The sequence below is a fragment of the Homo sapiens genome, chromosome 1 (assembly GCF_000001405.40).
Source record: "Homo sapiens chromosome 1, GRCh38.p14 Primary Assembly".
NCBI classification, from domain to species: Eukaryota; Metazoa; Chordata; class Mammalia; order Primates; family Hominidae; genus Homo; species Homo sapiens.
Window position 1 is genome coordinate 166,048,329 of NC_000001.11, and position 24,002 is coordinate 166,072,330.

At 44.3% G+C, this 24,002-nt stretch overlaps 1 protein-coding gene across 4 annotated transcripts in view, besides 2 other annotated features; it reads right to left on the reverse strand.

Annotated features, from left to right (window-relative positions):
- Positions 1-7,589: 7,589 nt before the first annotated feature.
- Positions 7,590-24,002, reverse strand: part of FAM78B (family with sequence similarity 78 member B) — a 111,084-nt gene continuing 94,671 nt past the window's right edge. The window contains exons 2-3 of one of the 4 annotated variants that reach the window (NR_135199.2): positions 21,504-22,435; positions 7,590-12,335 (exon numbers count right to left, since the gene is read on the reverse strand). Coding sequence is in view for 2 of the 4 variants with exons in the window: in NM_001017961.5 (NP_001017961.1) it covers positions 21,913-22,435 (523 nt within the window). In the remaining 2 variants the exon portion in view is untranslated. Of the gene's footprint in view, positions 12,336-20,970; positions 22,436-24,002 lie in introns of those variants that run through there. The other 3 variants (NR_163271.1, NM_001320302.2, NM_001017961.5) reach the window with 3 other exon arrangements.
- Positions 15,640-16,139: an enhancer, noted in NCBI's record as "H3K27ac hESC enhancer chr1:166033205-166033704 (GRCh37/hg19 assembly coordinates)". NCBI's record gives its function as "activates a minimal SCP1, AML or CMV promoter by ChIP-STARR-seq in naive H9 embryonic stem cells {active_cell/tissue: H9 hESC(naive)}" and the evidence as "EXISTENCE:reporter gene assay evidence [ECO:0000049][PMID:30033119]".
- Positions 21,171-21,371: a silencer, noted in NCBI's record as "peak439 fragment used in MPRA reporter construct". NCBI's record gives its function as "represses an SCP1 promoter by STARR-seq MPRAs in K562 erythroleukemia cells {active_cell/tissue: K562}" and the evidence as "EXISTENCE:reporter gene assay evidence [ECO:0000049][PMID:32103011]".

Genomic DNA, 24,002 nt, shown 5'->3' on the forward strand with positions numbered 1-24,002 from the left:
AACTCACAGAGCCAATGAGAAGGAAAAGTAACTCCAAAAAGGAACTGTTTTGCCTTGTGTAGATGCTTCCTCCACGTGACTGCAACAATTGCCCTGACAGCACAGGTTCTAGGCTCTTGATTCTAGAATCTCATTTCCATTTGCTCAATGGACATCTCTTCTGAAGTCCAGGGGATATAGTATTGCTCCTGGCCTCAGGAACTGTAACAAACTGCAGAACAGTTACATGAGTGCAGAGGTATGTGTGAGTAGACGGAATGGCTGAGCCCTGCAGCATGAGCTGGGGCAAGGGGAGGAAGGGGCATCCACAGAGGGCACAGCTTGGGCAAAGGCCTGACGAGAACAGCACAGCATGTGCACAGAACTTAGTTCTGTCTACACATCCACAGTCTTTCCAATATTCTGAGTGTCCTATAATTACTTTTCCTTATTTTTTCCCTTCCTTCCTTTCTTGAATAAGAGTTCTGAACTCATTACCTCCATTGAGGACCTAGGAACTACTAGTTTGAAGTATCTTCATGGGGAAATTGGCTATCCAGCCAGAACATCCCCGTTTCTGAAGAAAACCTGTGGGATGTGTCATTTCAAACTCAGAAGGGCACTCAAATGAGCCCCTGGCAAGCTGAACCTTAAGGATAAGGCCTATTCCACTCCAGCCACACTGAGCCTCTACAGCTCTTGATGAGATCAGGCTCGATCCAGCCTCAGGTCCTTTGCAGGGCTCATTTCCTCTTCCTGGTAAGTGCCTTCTCTAGGTATCTGCATGACTCTTCATCTAAGTCTGTGTTTCATCTGCTACCTTCTCTTACCACCCTATTTTAAGCTCCTCAACAAACTGCATTCTTATTTCCTGCCTTATTTTCCTTCACAGCACTTACACTAACACGACATATAGTTTATGTACTAATATTCTTCATCACTCCCTAACTCCCAATTAGAATGCTAGCTCCTGAAGGTTTTGTTTGCTTTGTTCACTCCTGTGTCCTCTGCACCTAGAGCAGTGCCTGTCACATAAGTGTTACGTAGGTGTGCCCTACATAGGTGTGCCCTACATAGGTGTGCCCTACATAGGTGTATGTGTATATGTAGGTGTGCCTTACATATTTGTTGAATAAATAATAAATGAATATTTATGAGGGCTGAATAATGGAAATGAAGAGAGGTAATTGGGCCCATTCTTCGCGTCTACTTGGTTGTGGACCACAAGAGAAATTACTGGGAAACTCCTCAGCTTGGTTTTCAAGCCCCTGCTCCGTCGACTCTAAGACCCACTCTCCTCTTTCCTAGAGGCCTCATGTCCCTCTACCAGACTTAGGTCATAGGCATCTTCACAGAGTCATTCGGGAGCCTTGGGGCTGGGAAGGCAATGCCGTGTTCCTCTTTGCATCCCCTGTATAGTAGATGATATAGTTTGAATGTGTCCCCATCCAACCTCCTGTTGAAATGTAATCTCCAGTGTTGGAGGTGGGGCCTGGTGGGAGGTGTTTGGATCCTGGGGGAGGATCCCTCATGTACTGGTGCTGTCCTTACCACAGTGACTGAGTTCTCACGAGATCTGGTTGTAGTAAAGAGTGGCACAAACCCCACTTCTTGCTCCTGCTCTGCCATGTAAGATGCCTGCTCCCGCTTCACTTTCTGTCATGAGTAAAAGCTCCTTGTGGCCTCCCCCTAAGCCGAGCAGATGCCAGTACCATGCTTCCTGTACAGTCTGCAGAACTATGAGCCAATTAAACCTCTTTTCTTTATAAATTACCTAGTCTCAGGGATTTCTTTATAGCAATGCAACAACAGCCTAACACAGTAGATGTTTGTTATACTGAACCTCTGAGGGGCTGCCTTCCTTTCCAAGTTCCTGCCTCCTAGTGCGATTTGGTAACAAAGGAGCTAAACAGAGATACAGGAATTTCCCTGTTCATAGCTTCTGGTTTCTGCCTAAGTGAGCTCACCAGCAGAAAAATCTTTCATTCAGGAGGGAAGGAGGCATTACTGAGCTGGAGCCCTCTGTCAGCTTTCATGCTATTTTTCCTGCGACTTTGGTAGGAGCCTCCCTGCCTCTAAGATCCCAGGATGAGTGGTCACTAAGTAACTCAGCACTCGGACTCACTGTGCATGCACACGCAATCACTTTGCAATGAGCTTCAGCCCATCCATCCTGAGACCTCCTGGTGTCTTTTCCATCTTTAGGGGAGATGGGACTGTGTGATAGAATAACACAGTAAGTAGCAAACTGTCAGGGGAAAGCCTGGGAAAGAAAAGAACACAGGGCCAGCTGGGATTAGGTTTGGGATTGGACCTCTTTTCCAAAATGTGTTTCTTCATAGAGCACGTGAATCAGCCTAGAATTCTCTTGAAATCAACCTTCCTAGAATTGGCCCAGGTGAGGGGGATTTCCTCAGGGCTGGGGATGGGATGTGCCCCTCAGTCTTTTCCAGACCTTAGCAGGGCTTCTGGACACTCTCAAGGATCCCTGACACAGCTACCTCAGCACCTACTTCCCAAGGCAGCAGGAGCCTTCAGCTAGAGAGGCGTGTGGTGAGGGGCCCAGTTTTTGACTGAGCTGGTAGGTGGATGAATTGGTGTATCAGTGGACTATCACTGATACTCCCTGGGGCTTCAATGGTATTTAGAAAGAGGGAAACATAGGGGTCTCACATCCTAAAGGGAAGTGGTTTTCTGGGGCACTCCCATTTCTGTGGTAGCTTTTGGCATGGAATTGAGGCCACACATGAAATAGGTGACTTACTGTTACTGCCCAGAAGCCCCTCAGCCCTTCCATGCCCCTGGAATGGGTTCACAGCTAGGATTGTAGCTAGGATTCAGGGCTAGGATTGTAGCTGTGTGGTAGGTTCTTATGTTGGAGGCTCACACTGCCTGGAGGGCTTATCTCTGCTGGAAGCAGAACAGATGGAGGCACAAAACCCAGTGGAATAAGTTGGAGCATTCCCTGCCTCTCTCCCACCTGAAAGGGGAGGGAGAAGCTTGGGCTGAAACTCACCCCACCCTCAGTCCTCTCTCAAGGGCCTTTCCTTGGGGTGGCAGCCTCTCCATCCCTGAGTCGGCAAGACCCCAGCTAGCTAACAGCAGGGGCAGAGGATGTCTCTCTTTGCTGAGCTCAGGATAAGCTATGTGGCTAAGCTAATGGACTTATTTGTTGGACCTTAGTGTTCTTCTCTGAAAAATGGCATGGCTGCATAATATGCAGGCTTCTTTCTCAGCTTTAAACTTCCACACCAGAGCCATGAAAAGCACACTGGATAGACAAGATTGGGAAACTTCAACTCAAGCCCCAGCTCTGACATTTATGAGACTGTTTTTTCATATGTAAATCAGGGCTAGTAACACCCACAGGGTTGTTGATAGGATGAAGTGAAGTACCACTATATGTGTCAAAACTTGGTAAGCCATGAGGCTTTATACAATTGAGAGGGCGTAGGAATCTCTGAATCTGAGAAAGAGAGATGCATGGAAGTCAGGGGACATATTGGATCTTAACTCTTGGGGAGCTAGGCCTGTTCACTTTTCTTTTAAACTAAATTGCTTAGCTCTGCAAGTGGATGGCAGCCTCATGGCTGCTATTTATTTGACATTGAGGAGATATTTGTGTATCATTAAATACTCAAGAGAATCAGACTGCAAGCCACCTCTTGATAACCTTGAAATGTAGCCTGGTCATGGGCGCCCTAAGTTCTCCTACTTCCCACTGAGGGGCACTGCTCCTCTAGGGGTTGGGATCTCTGGAAGAAGTATGATTTGGGGGATCATTTCTGCCATCAGTTTAATATTTTGGAATTCAGAAGTGGAGAGTCAACTCAGAATTGCCCAGGGATGAACTCTTCACCCTGCTGCATTTGCCACTGACTTAATGGACTCCTCTGTTCCGAGTGGGAAAGGGATGTGAGGAACAGAAAAAACTCAAAATTCTCCACCAGGTACCATTTTTTTTCATCCTCTCGGAATCTTAACAAAGGGTCCCTAGGGCTTCAGTTGGAGCCCATTTATCTTTCCTCAGTGATGGGAAATAACTGGTTCCCCTCATCTTCAATGTAGATAGTCTTACGAGGGTGAAAAATTACCACGGACTAGCTGTTGAGCTGAAACAAAGACACATTCTAGAATTTGGGGGATAGATTTGATTTAAACTATTTTATGCCTTGATCAGGCTAGGGACAGACATTTTTGGTTTGGAAACTATGATCATCATGATTTTAGCATCCTCATATCTTTTTTTTTTTTTCTTCAGAGATGGGGTCTTGCTCTGTTGTCCAGGCTGGAGTGCAGTGGCAAGATCATAGCTCACTGCAGCCTTAAACTCCTGGGCTTGAGCAATCCCCCCATTTCTGCCTCCCAAACAGCTAGAACTAGAGGCATGTGTCACCATTCCTGGTTTTTAATTTTTTTGGTAGAGATTTCCATATATTACCCAGGCTGGTCCCAAACTCCTGGGCTCAGGTTATCTTCCCACCTCAGCTGCCTACAGTGTTGAGATTATGGGTGTGAGCCACCATACCTGACTTTCATCTCCATTTTATTTACTCCTGAAGTTACTCCATTTCTATCTTGGTTCATTCTCTATCTTTCCTCCTGAAAATGAGACTTCCTCACTCCCTTCATTTTGAACCTAGGCTCATCAAGATATCTTTGTTTTGGGGGGTTTAATCCAATTTCTCTTGGAATCTTGGTGAGGAGCCTCAGAGGCAGGGATAGGATAGTTTTCCATATCCCCAGGCTGGGTGGGGATGGCTGAGGAGCTACCAGTCTTTACTTGTTCTAAAGTCTCCCACTCTGACCATGGGTTCAGAGCTATGATTGTAGCTAGGATTCAGAGCCAGGATTGTAGCTGTGTGGCAGGGGAGAAGACAGAAGGCGACATTTGCAGCTCTCTGAAGGTACACTTTTATTTTTGTAGTTATTTATTTATTTATTTTTTTGAGGGCAAGAACCTTCCCTTTGTAGAAGCACAGGGATTGGGCAGCTAAGCTTCAGAAGCTTTTCAGAAAGTAGAGTATGCCTCTCCTCTTATAGTTTGTACCTCCTAAGATCTCCCTTCTAAGATCTGCTAAGCAGAATTCAATTTTATTTACTGGCTTAGACTGATGGACTCGGTACCAGCTGCCTTGCAGGCCAATGCGACACTTTTTTCTGTTCACTGGTGGGCATTCTCCAATGACTAGGATAACAAAGAGGAAGAGGCCTGAAACAGGAATAAATCCAACTGGTTGTTCACAGCCACCTCTACACCCCAGGGAACCATCACATGCTTGGCCATTTCTCCACACTTGCACTGTGTACAGTGAGTGCTCAGAGGCTGGTCACAAAGGCCACGTGTTGGTGCTTCTTCAATACACTTACTGTAATTATGCACATGCTTTTAGAGAACACCTTAGAAGTGGGCTTGCTTTGAATCCATTTGAATCAGATAATTAGTTTACAGACAGAAAATATATACTGTTTTAATTTTTCCAACTTGAGTAAGGATTGCTTTGGGAGTTGTGTGCAGTGTGTTATAAAAATAACTTTTAATTATATTTATTTACTTAATGAATCACACAGATGATAGGTGAGTGGAGTTTTGAGACAGCCTGCAGAGTTGCCCCAAAGCCTCACATTTGTACTGTGCCTTATGATTTATAATGTAATTTCACATCCAGTCTTTTTTTTTTTTTTGAGATGAGTCTCACTCTGTCACCCAGGCTGGAGTGCAGTGGTGCTATCTTGGCTCTCTGTAGCCTCCGCCTCCTGGGTTCAAGAGATTCTCCTGCCTCAGCCTCCCGAGTAGCTGGGATTACAGGCATATGCCACTAGGCCCAGCTATTTTTTTTGTATTTTTAGTAGAGATGGGGTTTCACCATGTTGGCCAGGCTGGTATCGAACTCCTGACCTCAAGTGATCTGCCTGTCTTGACCTCCCAAAGTGCTGGGATTACAGGTGTGAGCCACCATACCCGGTCACATCCAGTCTTATGTTTGCAGGGAACATTTCAAGGTTTTGTATACCTAGTAAGAGGCAATGCTGGGTCTCTATTTTAGATGTTCCAGCTTCATGTTTTGTGCTTTTTACAAGTGCATTGAGAAAATCATATGATGAAGTCAAAAGAGCCATACTGGGATCCTCACTCTAATATTTAACAGCTGTGTGAACTTGAGAACGTCATTTTATTTTTCAAAGCTGCAGTAAATGGACTCTCCATGGATTATGGTAAAAACAGTAGATGATAAACCTGATTCTGCTCTGAAATGTATAAAGCATAGATGTGAAGCCTCTAATGGAATAGGATGCCTGTTAATGCATAAAGGAGGTGCCTGGAGAGGCCAAAAATTATCTTTATTAAGTGTAATAATTAGTAGTTGCTTCTTGGTATAGCCCAGACATAAAGGAAACAACTCTGTCCTCTTGGTTCCCCTCATCTGTTCTTGTTTTTTAATTCTCCCATAATATTTCTCACTGCCTAACATACAAATTTCTTTATTTATTATGTCTACAGTCTATCTTTCCTCTCACTAGAATGGAAGTTCTAGGAGGGATGGATTTTTGTCTGTCTGGTTTGCTGAGGAGTTCCTAGCATCTAAAAGTCTGGCACATGGCAGTCACATAATAAGTGCTTGCTGAAATAGTACATCCTTTTGCTCTGCAGATCACTCCAGTGATCTTTAGCTATGAAAATGTAGGGCTTCAGGGAGAAGAAGGCATGGAGGACGTGGAAAAGTTCATTAGAAGCTGGAACTTTCTGCAAGGCAAGGAACTGACAGCTCAGCTCCTCTTCGTCAAGGTTTGAAACAGGGATTCCCATGGGAGCTCCAAGGGGGCCCACACCTGGGCTGGGAGCCCAAGAAAATTGGCAGGTCACCAACTTGGGGAGGACAGTGGTTTAGGTTGTTGACTTGGGTGTAATGAACACACTTAAGAGATTTGTGAGGGAGTCTGTTTCAGCACAACTTAGGAATGATTCTGGACAGGCCTCCAGTACTGGCCCCTTGGCGTCATTCTGCTTTGAGAATAATGACTTGGTATGCCAGAAGCTATACCAAGGTGATAACTTGTGTCCTGGGCTTCCTGGCTGCAATGAACTGCCATCTTCCTTTATGCAGTGGGCAGGGAAGGCAGGAACAGGTTAGTATGCCCGGCTTCTGCTTGGGGTTTTGAATCTCTTGGGACTGAGTTCAGGACCCAGGGTTTTTGAGAAATTGGAATTAGATGGGCTGGGAAAACCTTAAAAAGGGATTACTTTGCTCTCTGTTAACAAAACATAAGATGGTTCAGGTAATTAATTTCAAAAATAAAAGAAATGTGACCATATATGTAACATGGCAGGCTATACCATTTCTTCACGTAGGTAACAATAAATATATAGTTTTGTTTGAATATTGTTTTTGCTCCCCCAAGTAACTTCATTAAATATATGACAATTTGGTTTTCAAAAAATCAGACACATCCCTGTTCCCTTTTCCAAGTTAACATGGAACTTACAGTTTTTTTTAAGTGAGAAAGAAATACCACTTGTATTTTCAGTTTGCCTCAACTGTCACTATATTCTACCAACCCTCACTCATACATTTGTGCTGTATATATACACACATACATACTGCAGTGTGTTCAGCAATTGCCAGTTCCTTATTTATTTCTTGAAATGAATGAACTAAGAAAAAAGTGCCAATTGTTCTTTCCAGAGATCATGCATTCTGATAGAGAAGATGCAGGAATCCCTTTTCTAAAATGTGTCTGCAAAGCTGCTTGCTCCAGAGTTGAGCATGTGCTGCTCAGGCCACCTGGTGAGGGTAGAGGCGTCTTAGTTAGACATATGTATATTTAAAAATACTCCCTCACCCCATGACATGCATGGCAGAGGCCCTTTTCTTAAATTTTTTTTCCAGGAGTGATAACCACTATTTACCACTTTTTATTTCAATATCTGGGTCTCCTTGCTCTCCCTCTTTTGACTGGTGTGTGTGTGTGCGTGTGTAGAGAGAGAGAGAGAATATGAATGAATGAATGAATGAATGTGAATTAGTGACTTTCAGCCCTCTTAAAACTGTGGACCCCACAGAAGGGTCATATATCTTGTGGAAAGATCAGAGTGCAGGTGGTGGGGACGGGCAGGAGGAGGGCTCTAATAGGCTAGGTCTTCAGTCCTGTCAACCTCCATAGTTTTCAGAATCCAAGTACACCTCAAGACCTCTCTTCCAACCCTGCAGTTCCCACTCTTGCCTGGATGAATCTGACCATTTACGTATACCAACACTCAGGGAGAGAAGGCAACATTCCAGAAACCTAACTGCCTCAGGAACTCAAACTTTAAGATGACCTGTTTTGATCAGATCCTAGGTGGCAAACATTAAGCTAAAGTAAAATAATTTAGCAAAAGCAAAGCAGAATCTGGTCAAGGGTGTTCCAGGAAGAAATGGTAGTACGAAAGAGATGGAAGGGCAAACTTTATCCTCTGATTCTAGAATGTTCTCTTTCTCCCAATTTCACAGCACCGAATCATAGATGAGGAGAGTGCTATGTTCCAATATTTGTATCCCCCACAAATTCATGTTGAAATCCTAACCCCCATGGTGATAGTATTAGGGGGTGGGGCTTTTGGGAGGTGATTAGGTCATGAAGACAGACCTCTTGTAAGAGAGGCCCAAGGAAGCTCATTTGTCCTTTGCACCACGTGAGGGCACAGCTGGAAGGTGCCAAGTACGAACTAGAAAACAGGGCCTCCCCAGTCATCGAATCTGCCAGAGCCTTGATCGTGGACTTCCCAGCTTCCAGAACAGTGAGAAATACATTTCTGTTGTTTATAGGCCACCCAACTTAGGATATTTGGTTATAGCAGCCCCAAAAGACTAAGCCCAAAGCGTGTCATTAGGGAGAAGGGTGAGGATCCCTTTCTTCCCCTTACAGTTGTCCATGCTTTTTCCCATCTTAGAATTGTCTTTTGGACCAAATTTGATGGCAACATTATGCCTTAGCCTGCCAGAGCTTTCCTAGCTGGGCAGGATTCCTGCATCTGCCCTCTGTATGTTCCAGAGCTTGCTTGTTCCTGGGGCCATCCCCAGGTTTTGTAGAAAACCAGGCACTGCATCTTTGAGGACAAAATTAAAGAGAAAACATATTTTGTTGTTGTTGTTGAATACACACTGTATTTAACTTTTTTTAATCCCAGAGAAGTGAAATGCAACATCTGTTTGAGTTTATGTAACATCTGAAGACTGACAACTCAGAATTTCCTAATTAAAGTCATTTTTAAGGCACTCTGCAGAGCCAGCTTTCATTTCTTCCTTCATTGGGTTTTTCTCCAAACTGTAGCAGAATACCTGGTTTCTCTTTCTTCAAAGTGATACACACATGCTCATGCCTTAACCTGCTCTTCTGTCCTCCAGGACAACGAAACACAGCACAATTCCAAGGAGGAAATGGTAAAGGAAGGAAATACATGGTGTAGGGGAGCAGGGTAAGGAGACAGCAGAGAGGACACGTACAAGTAAATTAACTGATATAGTCAGTCATAGCTGAAAAGATAAAGAGCAGAAGGGAAATTGAACAGGGTGGGGTGGGCCAGATGGCTGGCAGCCGGTGAAAAAATAGGCTACGTTTCCCAGCGAGATCTAAATTAATTTAGCTAGTTCCCTGTTTTGTTTTTGTTTTTTTTGGGTTTTTTTTTTTCATTTTTAAAGATAGGGCCAATGCAAGGGAGGTATCTCAAAATTATGGAGGGTATAATGTAGGCAAGTGTGCTTGCTTGTGCTCATGCACTTATGAAGGGCTGCGCTTACAGACAGGTATGACTCGGGGGCTCTAAAATGCCCTCCTGATATAAAAGAATCTCCCTTACTGGCCCACTTCTGGGCCTGAAATTCCCACCACTACAGCCACTCTTTCTGATTAAGGCATTATCTGTAGCCCCTATTAAAATGTAAATGTCACCTGGGAAGGGTAACACTCGACTCTTTAGCACCCACTGACTGAACTGTCACCTATCAGAGAGTAGGACCCTGAGAGATGGGACATAGGGCAGGGACATTTGGACTGATGGGGAAAGAAGGCTTGGTGGTATGGGACGCTGGAGAGGGAATGGCTGGGCAGCTGAGGGGAGTGTGTGAAACAATGCTTGCCCCGGGAAATTACTTAGATGGAGGAGATGGGATGGCAAAATGAACTTACCCACATCACAGGTTTCCCTAGGCTTTGTGTGTGTGTGTGTGTGTGTGTGTGTGTGTGTGTGTAGTGTGTCTAACAGTTTGTATATATTATACATTCTATGTATATACCTGATATGGAGTTCACTGGGGCCCATCATGAACATAATACAGTGAAACTCCATCAAGTGAAAGATAACAAAAGCCCTCAACTGTTTTCATGTAGAATGTAATCACATGTAAAGTGAAGCCTGGCATCTCTATAGATCTAGATGGTTTGTATGTAGACAGTGTGTGCACATGTACGTGTACACGCACTCACACACACATTTACTCATACCCAGCAGTGGAGATCTTGTAGATGTGAAGGGTGAGATGCCTCTTCTCAGCCATCTAGGATTTGAATGCACAGTAGCTGCTGCATTGTGGACCCAAATCCTAGATGGCTGAGGAGGTTGGTTGTTGGAAAAAGGACTTGCTGGGGGAGCACTGTGACCCCTTTCTCTGTTAACAGTAGATCCTCATTCAACTCAGGTGGCTCTGCAGAAATGGCCAAGGCTTGGGTTATAAGACTTACATGGGCCATACCATCAAGACTGGGGCTTGGAGACAGAAATGTCGCCAAAGTGCCCTTTAAACTTTTGGAGTTTGGGAACCTGGAGAAGGTGCAGGTGAACAGAGAATCCTGCAGAGAGTAGGTTTCTGCTCCTAGAAAAGCTGGAAATTGTTTGGGAGCAGCCCGCAGGCTGGATGCAGGAACCAGCCTCAGAGTACCACTCATGGGACCTGCCCCCTCTCCAGGGATCTGCTATGGTTGGCTGAGCTGATGGGGAAGGTGCAGAGAGGAGAAGGGGCTGGAGGAACGGGAAGAGGACTCCAGAGAAAGCTTGGGAAGTAGAGATGAAAGAATCTGGGTGGGGAGGGGCAAGGGAGAGGTGATACTAGAACTTTCCAACCCTATTTTCACATTAGAGTCATCTGGGTAACTTAAAAAACTCCGATGCCCAGGATCTACCCTTCGATGCTATAATTGGTTTGGGCAGGGGACCAGGCATGGATATTTTTTAAGCTCCTCAGATGATTCTAACGTGCATCTGATGTTAGAATACTACATCAGAGCAGAATGAGAAGTTTTGTTCTGCACTGTTAGGCTGAAGATGGCTGGTCAATCCCCACCTGAGTAAAGGAGAATGAGAAGACTGGTGCAAGGTGGTTGGGGTGGAGGCCGGATTCTGAGGGCTATCTAGACAGTCAAGCCTCTGCTGATTTGTGTGACTTTACAGCCTTGTTAGCTGGTGATTTCTAATCCCATGTCTGGTTGAAAATGTGGCTGAGGTGGAGGTGTTTGGGCGTAAGGAGAAAAATTTCCCTCTCTATTCTGAAGCTTCAAAGAGAAATAATTCGCTGTGCTCTATGGGCCCAGGAAGACAAATTCTGGGGCTGATGCTTAAAAAATGGAAATGGATTTTGTGTTGTATAATAAATACAAATAAATACATCAGTAAGCAAGCCAATAAATAAACCAATAAATAAACCAATGCACACCATTTTTTCCCTCTTAAGGTGGTTCTCCCCTCACCCCATTGAACCTGGTGACTTACACTCTGCCCCTGGTCACCTGAAGGCACCCAGCCTGGCCGTGGAAGGGGGAACAAGATGACTGCCTTGGCTCTGGCTCTCCAAGGATCAGAGAACACAGAGAAACCTAGAGAGGCCACCCACATGGAGAAGGAGGAGGAAGGGAGATACAAATCCCCCGTTTCCCACCCAAAAGCATAGGGAGGGAAGGCAGGGTTTGGGAACCAAGGCTGGGCCACATTAGGTATTTAAAGTCCAGGCTGACCAGCTCTTCATCCCTAGGAGGCTTCACTTTGAGGGTTGGGGAAAGGACTTGGGATCTGAATGAACCCCATCTTTCTACACACAAAAAGATACAGCAGGCACAACTCTCACTTTAACACAGCTCCCCATGGGCCAAGCAGGCAGCCCAATCAGCCCAGGGCAAGTGCCACATGGCTCGTGGAGGGTGGGTAGGAGGGACTGGTCACGGGACGGGAGGAAGGCGAGGAGGTAGGCAGGATGGCACACATTTTAATGGGAAATCAGCTGTCCAGGGATTCAGCTTCTGGAGCCGCCAGCCATTGCTCACTTCCTCCTTCTCAGTCTCTGCCATGTGGTTGTGCTTGCTGGGCTTTCCTTGTCCTACTAGGAGACCTGTATGTGGACATGGAAACATGTAAATAAAGCGGGCATTAAGACAGTGATCAAAGAAATGTCATTCCCTAAAAGCAGATGGTCATGATCTGGGCTCCATTAATAGATTTCAAGGGGAGATGACCCTGAAATTTTACAAAAAATTTTTGGTATTTATTTTCATATGCACTTCTCTATAAAGAATATATAACTTTCATATGGTTATTTTAAAAAGATTAAAAACTAAAATAATATTAAAGGTTTACAGGTCATTTATATGTGTAACCCATTAGCAAGTCACCAGGCAATCCTCAGAAATGGGGGGGAAGTTGAGACCCCCAATGGCATTGTTTTTTAGCATCCAAAGCACAAAGGGACTTGCAAGAATCACTGAGTGACCAGAGCTCTGTAGCTCACCCAACATTCCTGTGCAAGGGGGTCACACCACGACTGAGCTAAAACTTACTGTTTTATTCCAGAGTCCAAATCACATGAGATAAAACTTACTTCTTGAATATGCAACATTAGAGAAAACTGAAGTTATTCAGTTATTCAACTTGAAGTTCTCATGTAATAGTTGTGGCCATAACAAAGTGGGTGAACTAAAGTTTTAAAATTAGAAAAAAGCAGTCTTGAACATATGAAGATAGTTGCTCTAGGGTAAAGCCAAGCATCAGGCATCCTTCTCTTTTTTTTTCTTGATCATTCTTCTGTTTGGTATCTTTGAATTTTTGATATGCTCTGTCTGCTTACAGGGATGTACTGCTATAATGACACAAATTTTATGATTATAAATTAATTAATATGTTGCCTTTTCAGATTGTATGCATGGTTTCAATTTTAGGAGAAAACCAAATTTCAAATTCTTAGGCAGATGGTAAAAAAAACTTGTTCCAATTGTTTGAAGTCAGTAGACAACGCCATTACATATATAATTGGGGACTTAACAGCCTAGAAGACAATGCGCCATTACATATATAATTGGGGACGTAACAGCCTAGAAGCCATTCTAGAAAGTGTTCCTCTGCATTCCCTGTGCTGTGGAATAGCTGCCATGCTCTTTGGTGCCACTTCCCCTTCCTGCAATAATGAGATTGGTTAGAATTGGTCAGAGGCACTGACTGTGCTAGGCTTTGCCAGCCCTCAATACCTTGTGTGACACAGAATGACAGACACAGCAGGGATAGAGGGGAATGAGTGGGGCACAATGTGGTTGCACGTGTGCAGAGGCCTTGAGACACCCTGAGTCTGCCTGCTGCTCCTGGACCATACTGGAGAGATGCCTGTGTGCCAGTCACATCACCACAATGACTGCTTTATGTCATCATTATTTCACTATATTATTTCTGTTATATTTATTATACAATAAGGGTGTCTCTGGGTGAGGAAAATTTTTCTCCAGAAAATATTTTAAATGCACGTTTGGATTCTATCAGTTTTCTCTAAGGCAAGGCACAGAGGCTCAGAGCTCTCCATCAAATGTGCTCTCACAAGCCTAAAAACTTTGAGGGTGAATATGGCACTGAGATTGGCCTTCTTCCCATTTCACAGATGGAAAAGTGAAGATCCCAAAGATGGCCTGCATCAGACCACCATCAAGCCAAAATCAGGCCTCAGGGGTCTCAGGTCTTCTGGTCCATGAGACCACCCTGTGCCAATGAACACTGCATTTGATACAGAAAGCAGGCTTGGAAAGATCTAATTCTACTGAAGAGAAAAAGACAGGATCATGTCAAGCTGCAGAAGGTTTGGAATCCAACTGAGTTTAAAGCTGCTTATTCTTTCACAGCAAATGCCGTATTTCCCTTCTGATGAACGTGCCTGAAGAAGGCGTTTTCCTTTGTTTGATTTTGTGAGTGGCTCCTGGGAACAGATGCTTTCTTGCTATTTCAGAAGACTTAGGAAATTTTTCAGGTGAGACAGATGAGTCTTTAGTTCCCTGATGCATGTGCATGTGCGTGTACAAAGAAATGGGTGGCGTAGCCTCTCAGTCCCTGCTCATCTGATATGCATGTGCAGCGTCTTTCTTTCTTTCCTAATTAGAAGTAATAGCTTTCCATAGTTTCTGGTACGTGAGGGAGTGAAGTGGGAAATAATTTAATTGGCTGTCTTGCTTTCAAAGCCCAGTTTAATGAAATAGTTCTCAGCCTGAAGTGCATGTATTATCTTTCCTGTTATTTTTCCAATTAACATTTCATTGGATCACGTCTGTGTGGAATATTCTAATTGAAGGGCGGGGTGAAGGGACAAGAGCAGATGGAGAGATAACCAGCTGTTTCTTTCATCCCCAGTGTCTGTGCACATACTGACGTGGCTGTAGGTTTTTCCTAGCGCCTTTCCTTCAAAGGGCTCAAAGTGCTCGAGAGAAGTCCTTCCCTGTCAACCTCACCCATCCTCATGGAGCCCCTGGGCCAGGAAGGCAATATCTCCTTACAGGCACACTGGCTGATGCACTGGATAGAGAGAACTAAGCAGGCATTTCCCCAGGTTCTGGGCTCCCTTCTGATGGATGAGCCCAAGGGGGAAAATGCGCAGCTCCCAAAACTTCCTGTTGGCATTGTCTCCCTGATGGCAGGACTCTGTTTAGCCTGACACATAGAAGACACTCACTACAGACTTGTTGACAGAACAAGTATTCAGAGGGATACCACAACATCCTCCCTGCTTGATCTTCTTGTGAAGAGAGGAGTGAGTTGGAGGTGGGCATGAAGCAGGGCTGGGACTAGGGGAGGCAAGCCAGGTGCCTAGGATAAACACTGAAGGAGGCTCGCTTGCACAGGGGCAGGTGGGTACAGGATTCAGTATTTAAGAAGGGACTTACTCCCAGGCCTGTGCGTGGCCTGACAGTGAGTGCCTTCTTAAACACTGGATCTTATGAGACCAGCCTGGACAATATAGCAAGACTCCAGCTCTGTGAAAAAATAATAATAAAAATATTCTGGATCCTAGTGCCTGCTTGGCTCACCCAGTCCCAGGACTGGCATGAAGCAAACAATCTCTCCTCCTTTATATTTCCTCTCTGTTCCTAGTAATGCTGGCCCTAGGCTCAGCGATCTCACTATCCAAATGCTTCATGGCACTGGCTGTATTCCTCATAGTCCCCAGTAAGGTCCATGTGGCACTGGGTTGTGCTCTGTGTCTCTGGCCTCTCCCATCATTGCTGTAATTCTAATGTGTTTTCCCTTCTCCCGGGCATTTCTGACCCAGCACTCAGCTGTTTTGAGGATCAACCTGTTTTCTGGGTTAGCCAAGGACATATGTGGGCCTGGAGGCAGAGGATGGGCTCCTATGCTTGGCCACATGGCTTGCTGCCCAGAGGCCTGGCTTCACATTTGTCCTGGTGAGAAGAGCTGGTTAGGTTCTCTTAGGGGCCATTCCCAGGCCCAGCTGGGAGAGGCACAGTTTGGGGTATGGGGACAGGGAGCCCTTGGGAAGCAGCCCTGAGGTGAACTGTGTGGCTGGTCCATGTAGGGCCATGGGGAATGGGGCTGCCTCGGGCAGGTGCAGAGAGAAGCCATCATCATATATGCCTCCAGTGTGGTGAGACAGCCTGGGGACTGTAGGGTACAAAAGTTATTTCTTCATTTTACTTGCACCCACACGGCCAAATCTGAAATAACACCGTTAAACTGTGGGGTCCCAGCCAAGATCTGGGACATCAAAAACTGTGTAGAGACCCACATAAAACTTTGAATATATATATATTTTCCTCTGAATCTCTTGTCTGAGACCATAACAGGAAAAATGCAGCTGTTCCTGGCTGGCTTCTCTAGGTTTAAACTAGGCAAATTGGGCTGGGATTTCAAGTCTGGCCTAGACTTGACATTCCAGCCTCCTTTCCTTTCCAAAAGGCCGCTTGGAGTTCCAGCTACACATTCTTTCTAGAGCTGCTTCCTGGAGTGCTATGCAAAAATCTTTCTTTCCTTGACCACCAGGTTTCACGCCTCCCTGAACAAACAAGGTGGCTGGGGGAAATGGGACCCACTCTCCGCAGGGGCCAGGCCTCACTTGGCAGTAAGAGTGAGTTCTCCTGAGATGGTTTTGGGCTTCCAAGTAGATGAGGCCAGAGGGCCTGCCATCAGCTTCAGGCCCTGTGATTCTACTCAAGTCACAATATCTTACATGAGGCAGCACATTAGGCAATTTGGACTATTTTCAGACACTGTCCTACTTTGTCTTTCTGATCGTGATGTTGGCTGGGCTGTATTAATATCTCAGGTAACAGAGAAGGAAACCAAGTCTCAGAAAAGTTAAATGATTTGTTCAAGTCCAGCTACCAGCAGGACCTCCAAGATCTCAAGTAATGCTGATGTCCCAGGTTCTGGCCTTCTACCTCAGAGCACCCAACTGGGCCTCCCTTCTAATGTGGGATAGGAGAGAAACCACTTGAAGGCACAGCCTGGGCCACCTGAACCCTGACTCCTCAGTGGAGCTTATTCTGTCTGGTTAAAGTGCATCCAGAGATCAATTAGGGCACTCTTTCCTAGTCAGCCCTGCCTGATAAACAGTAGTGGCTGGACAAGTGGAGGAGGGTGCCTGCATTTAACCAGGGAGAGAATGTTCTGTGACAACGGAGTGAAGGTCTGGGGTAAAAATATCTGTGTGCAGAGGGCTCAAGTTCTTAGGGCACCACCAATTTAGTGTGACCTTGGACAAGTCACTTGAGCTTTCTGCTTCAAACTCCTCATAAAGTGGTGATATAATGCCAAAATATTACAGGATTGTTGAGGATAAAATGGCAAAATATTTGTGTCTGTACTATGTAAACTGTAACATACTAATCAGATGGGTGTTGTTACTATTAATAACAACAATGACAGATCAGGCCAATACTAAGACTTTCCATCTTGAACAGAGATGCCTCTTGTTCTACACAAAGGAAATGAAAAACTCTTTATAAACTGTAAAGCACTTATACATAAAGGGAATTTTAGGACCCTAAGGTTGGTGATGGGCTCTGTCATGGGCAGGTGCACCGCTGACCTGGGTGGGGATGACACTCCATCTCCCCAGATGCCTTCCTGTCATCTGGCAACTGGCAACTCTTCTGATGGCCTTCCATAGGCAGATGTCCTACCAGGGAAACTGGAACCAGATGTACTCAAGATCTCAAAAGAAATTAATGGCAATAAGACTCTGGGGTAAAAATATCTGTGTGCACAGAGCTTGCTCACTCAGCTCCCTTTCTATCTAAGGATCATTTAGGCTTAATTATAGAGTTCAGGCATTCATTGGGTTTTTGATTAATTTTCTTTTCAGTTTGAAGAGTATGTGAGTGTGGCAGGTCTCTGTATGTGTGTGTGTTTACATCTTTCTTTGCAACTCAGTTGGGAGCTGGCTCTTGCAATGTTTAATTGTGCCCTCAGTTCTAACAAGCACGTTCAATGTGCTAACCAGGGCTTGGAAAGCCATTGTTTCCACTGCTCACACCCCAAAGGCTGCTCCTGCCATGTTGAGGGACGGCGGGTGGCAGGGCCTTGTTCAGCTGGGACCTCAGTTGCAGGATGCATGCTTTCCTTCCCCTTTTTGGCCTTGTGGTGCTTAAAGGATTCTGATGCCAGGAGAGCAGATTTCCTACTCCAATTACTAAGTACTCTGCTAAGAGCTGCTGAGTGACAGCTAGCTCACCCACACTGCAGCCCCTGTCAGGCATTATATTCTGGGATAACCTCCCAAAGGGTTTCTTTGCATAAGAAAGCAGTGTTTGTTCTCCTATGTTTAGTATGTCCATTTAATAGATTGGGAGAGACTACATGACAGTGTAGATGAAAGGGACTAGCTTTCTCCTTTCCTTCCTTTTCTTTTGTGCCCTCTAGTCAGGGATGAACAGGAGAGGCAGAACAGGATAGTGGAAGGGCATGGAAGTTGGAGCCAAAAGGCCCCATTTCAATCCTGGCTCCTGACATTTTGTTTGTGTACTCATGGATATGCCACTTAACCTCTTTGGTCTCAATTTATTATCTGAAAATGGGAATAATACTACTCATCAGTATTACACTCGTAAGACTGGGGATGAGAAAATGCATGTGGAAGGCTTTTGTAAAAATACTCTATAAATCATAGTTCTTTTATTTTACTGATCAGAATTGCTGCTTAGTACATGCTTTTGACCTATGAGATTATCATTCCAGCACCAGGAAACAGGGAGTTGTAAAAAGGTCCACAGAATGGGAGGTGGGTAGGGGACTAGTCTCCAACTCTCTCATGTGCCCCCATCTCATGTGAGATGAGATTCGGGAGATGTGCTTGGCTCTTCAGTTGGCTAGGTATGTGAGCTACAGCAATGACCCAGGAATGTAAACTGCATGCAGCGAAGGGCCCATATTAAGGGTTCAACCTCAAAACAGCTGTCACAGATAAAGGGAATCTGGAACATTCAAATTTTCTTTTACATAATAGTAACAAGGATTTCCTCTTGTTCTTTAAAGGACGGATCCAATTGTCTCTAGTTTTAGACTCATTGGTTTGTGGGTGAATGGATTAGGGATGATGATAATGTTTTGGTTGGAGACAAGAGGCTGTGAGTTCTAGCTAAGTGTTACCATGTTGTGAGATGAAATTTGGGAGATGGGGCCTTCTCTTGGCTCTTCAGCTGGCTAGGTATACCATTCTGAATAGATGACCTAATTTAACGAGGCCTCAAATTCCTTCGGGATCATGGACTAAAAGATCTCAAAGGACCTGATTAAGAAAACTTAAGGCCTGATGAAATGCTTTTTCCTACGTAATTCAAAACTCTAGTGCCACCAAGAAGCCATGTGTTGTGTGTGTGTCTAAGTCCTGAGACCACCCAACTAAAACTTAATCAAGGCACTAAATGAGCCCCTTTAAACTGATGGCATCTGGCGTCAGGCCCAGGCATTTTGAGGGGAAGGAGGGCTGGATGGGAGGGCAGAGGTGACCTCAACAGAGATTTCAAGGTTAATTCTCTCTTGTACAAGAGACTTTCATTTGGCAATATCCTGACTAAGCTGAAAGATAATGATCCACAAATCACAGGAAGAAAAGGGGTCATTTCCTTGTAAAACAACAGTAACTTGAAAATAATTGGCTAAAGGGCAATAGAGCATTCTGCCAGGCTGACTTCAGAGCTGAGACACCCAACTGTAGAGTTCACAATGGTACCAATAACAATAATCACAATGTATACAGTGCTTTTAACTTTCATAAGCACTTTCCCATTTTTTTCATTTTGTCATTATACAACTTCCCAGAAAACTGCTGTGGGGGTAATTTCTTTTAAAACTCTGAAAAACTGTGATTTTTCATGGGAAACAAGCCTAGCTAAGTATGCTACACCTTGCTTTAGATATATAGATAAGCTTCTGAAAAAGTTATTTGTAAATATAGTTGTGTAAGTCATATCTTATTTTAATGCACTAGGGGAATTTGCAAACATAAATCTTGTATAGCATTTTGTAATGTAAATTCTAATTAATCTGTTGTTTGTTACAACTTTGGAGTTTAAAATACCAGGTTTTCTTAAAGTGGGGCCACATGGATTAGATTCTAGGGTCAGTATCCACTCCCCAGGATCCCATAGGGGTGGAGTCTAATTCAGTCTGGGGGAGAGAGTGCTGCCTGTGGTGTCAGCATGGAAAATAAGCTGCTTTGTACTTTAGCCATGGAGCTCTCTGGGACTGCCTTTCCCAAATAAAACAAGGAAACATGGGAAGGGACAGAGAATGCCAAACATAACAGCTGAATTATTTCTAAATGAATGTCTCCAGGTCCTCTGTGAGCCACTGATGTATTATTAATGTGTTGTTATAAATAACTTGCCATCAATAACTAATCTATAACAGAGTAGTTGATGGTTGGGGTGTGAAGTTAACACTACATAATTTGGAGCAGATCTCTTAGCACTCTTATGTAAGTAAGTACCATCCCCTGGGACTAGAATCTGAAATAAATTAGACTAAATTGAATTTTTAATAAAAGTAATAAACCCTGCTGCTTTTTATTCTCTATCCACAAACTCTAGTAGAAGACAGCTCTTTGGAGCCAACCATGAGATTGTAAAACTGCTCTGAACTTCAAATTTCTCCCTCTGAAATTAAGCTAGCAGTGTCTACTTCTTAAATCCACAATGACAATGTGAAAGTTTTATAATTAGTTTGCATGGAAGGGGGTGGTGAACAAGCAAATATATATACAACCATATATATGGTTGAATTATTGAGAATAAAGGGAAAAGCTCTTTTTTTGAGGTGGGGGAGGAAGGGTGATTCAAGCTAGAACTGCAAAAATCCTCACTTAAAGACTGGAAACCCTCAAAAAGAAGTTGTATATTGGCCTGACTAAAGGAAACCTGGCCTCTCATCTTTACTGGTTAAATCTTAGCAATACAGGCTTGCTTAACATGAGTAGCTTAGATTTTCTTTGAAGAGCTCTAAAGTTAAGTTAAGCCTTAGGAAGTAGTTTCTCACAAATGTTCAAGTTTGAGCTTCTGTGAAATAGAGCTAAAATAAATATATATAAAAATATACAGCGTATGTACATAGAAAGGCTACAGGTAGATATGTAGGCACTGGTGGCAAATATGCTAGTAATTATGCTATATGCATCATGTGTGCATGTGTGCATGTGTGTGTGTGTGTCTATGCATACACGTGTCCATTCCATATGTTCAGATCATTCAGAAACTCAAAAGAAACAGAATGAAAATGCTGTTCTTATTTGCTGAAATGTTCTTGAACCTTACATGGATTCATGGCTCATAACTTTTTAAATATAAATTTAGGGCTAATCATGGGAACAGAATAAGCAGCTGTAAACAAAATCAAGTTAGTTAGGATTTCACTAAAACATGGACAGGGCCCCAAATATCATAACTATTGCAGAATGTGGGAATTACAAAGCCAAATACTGTGATTAAAAATACTCTGAATAAGCAATCTTTTTGGAAAGAGGTGGGTAGACGGAACTAATGAAGTGTTTCCGTTAGTTCACATCAGCACCTTGGACAGTTCCAAGGAGGCTTTCTCCCTCAGAAAGGAGCAAATATCAGTATTTGTCTAGTTTTCTAAGCATTCATTCCATTGAGTGTGTTGATCTGATTATCAACTAATAAATGCAGAAGTATTAATGTGTCATAAAACCTTATTCTTTCCTCTCCCCATCACCCATTCTTTCACCACCCATTTCCCCAGCACCCTCCAGTCAGACAGCAGGAGTCTGTCTTACGACCACCTGGTGTGGATGTTTTCACTCCTACTTCTAATTGGCTGGGAAGCAGCATTTGCCACAGGCACTGTTTAATTTCGTTTCCATCCCCTGCATCTCACAGGAAAGAAATGGTCAATAGTTCAGATAAAAGAATCATCCTGGTCAGCTCCAAAATATGGCTACTTGCATGGTAATCACAGCAAGTCTGTCAAATCAGTGATTTCTTTATTCCTAAGAGGAAGGGATTTTTCCTAAGGATTATGGTTCTACCACCCAAGGAGCAGCCCTACTCTTCAAAAGTGGCTGCAAAGGCTGGCAAACCGAGAGGTCTGCTTTGGCTCAGAAACTCTGTTTGGCTCCTGCCACCCCTGGCACCCTCACTGCATGTCTCAGAGGCGTGTGATCCACACACAGTCAGGCCAGTCTGCTTCTACTTAGGAGGGATCACAACCAGAGGTGGCCCCCGCTTGGGCCTCCACATGAGGACCTGGGCATCATTGGCATTGGGTTTCACTAGTGCATTAGGGGGGATGGGTTCCATCCGGCTCAGGATCCGGGGCTGCTCCTGCTGAGTCCTGCCCACCAGCCGGGCCCGCTGCCCCAAGAGCTGAAGAGGGTCCACTTCAATGTCCACCCTCATCCTCCACTTGATGGTCTGCAGAATGATCTTCTCCTTTGTGGTGGTGTTCATGGCCACCAGCCAGGTCGTGAAACTTTGGTCTCTCTTGATTCTTGTGAGCAGTGGCACATTGCTGTCACTCACAGGCACTGCCCATGTCACACTGGGGTAGAAGTTGTCATTCATGCTGACGGAGAACCTGGAGATCTTGTTGGTGGGGCCAACCAGGGTCACAGTTTCTGTGGTGTTCCCGTACCAAGGGTAGCTCACCCCATCTGAGTCACTGATGGCTTTTACTCTCCCTTCCCTCAAGTCAGGCAGTTCCCAGCTTGACCTGGCAAAGCAGAAGACATGCACAAGAAAAGAAGAGGCTGAATGAATTTTTCAAAAGCTGGAGAGGTGCTCACTGCTTACTAACATAGTCAACTTGGGCAAAATGGGAAGTTCACAGGGGGAATTCAGGGCAAAAAGTTCTATGCTGTGCTGTTTCAGGATTAAATGAGAACAAACCAAAATAAAAATAACAAAGCCATGCCAAAACAAGTTAAATACAACCATGGCTGACCCAATTGAGAACAGGAAGCTCAAAAAGGCAGTTGTGAGACCACAAAGAGACATCAACTAGTTAGATGATGGTAATCAGCAGTTTAGAGGAATTCCATTACAAGAACCACTTTCTTGGAAATATGAATGTGAATAAGGTTTGCTTTTTGGGAAGAAATGATGGTTGAAATTCGATGTACTTGGAAGGCAGTATCTGGTGGAAAGAAGGGCAAAAGGAGGCAAAGTTAAAGGTTATATTAATTTCTTAGGAAATCATAGTAATAGAATTTCTACTTAACAAAGAGGGTTGTTTAAATTCTAGGCATCAGCCAATTCATCGCTTAGGCATAGAAAATCATAACATGAGAAAATCATGGTCATCTTCTGGAAACCATCTGAATGTGAAAGTTGTTCTACAGGCTGGCATACACTCTAATGCACCGCTCTCCCATTGCCTTCCAGTCCAGCCTGGAAGCCTCACAGCTTAGTTTGGCAAACTTGCCATTCTGGCACCTACCTACTCCTCCTGGCTGTCTCTGACCTTGTACAGGAGGAGGAGGAGGAGGAACCAATGTCTCTACCCCCTGCTGTAGACTGTTGCTAATAATAATTGCTGATACTTATTGAGTGTTACTCTATTACAACCATTGTGCTAAGTACATTATCTCAGTCAGTATTCAAAATACTCCACAAGATAAATACATTTTTATTTCCATTTTACACACAAGGGGATGAAGGCTTAAAGATGTTAAGGTACATGACAAAGGTCCTAAAGATTCCAAGAGGTGAAGCTGAGAGTTGTCTGACTTCAAAGTCCCTGGTTTTGGCCACTGTATCATACTGCCTCCCAAAGTACCCTTACACAGCGCTGGAGGGAGTTAGAATGGAGAGGACTCAGGCTGTCTAATGAGTTAGCAGCTCCAAGACCAGTCAGTCATGGAGAACTGGACTGGACCCCAGTAAGGGCAGAAGTCTAGTCAGCAGAGTGTTGATGCATGCTCCATATTTTCGCTCCGGGTACCAGGGATGATGCTTGGTAATAATGCACTAGAATTTAATAATTAAAGAGATGAGACTGCTTTATTCATCAGCTAAGAGGCAGTGGTCTTCTTTGACATAAAGTTCTTCCTCCTATGAGGTGACAGAAGATCCTGCAGGGTTTTATACAAGTTGTCTTAAAGGGAATTGCATTGTCAAGCTAGTGCTGATTAACATCTCAGCACCCTTACTATCACATGGGGACATGGAGACACTAACCACTGCCTCCTACTGACCCCCTACAGTACCTCCTAGGCCAGTCAGCCCCAGCCTGAAGTGAAGGGAGGGCTTGGCTGCCTGGGGAGGAGGTGACCCCACAG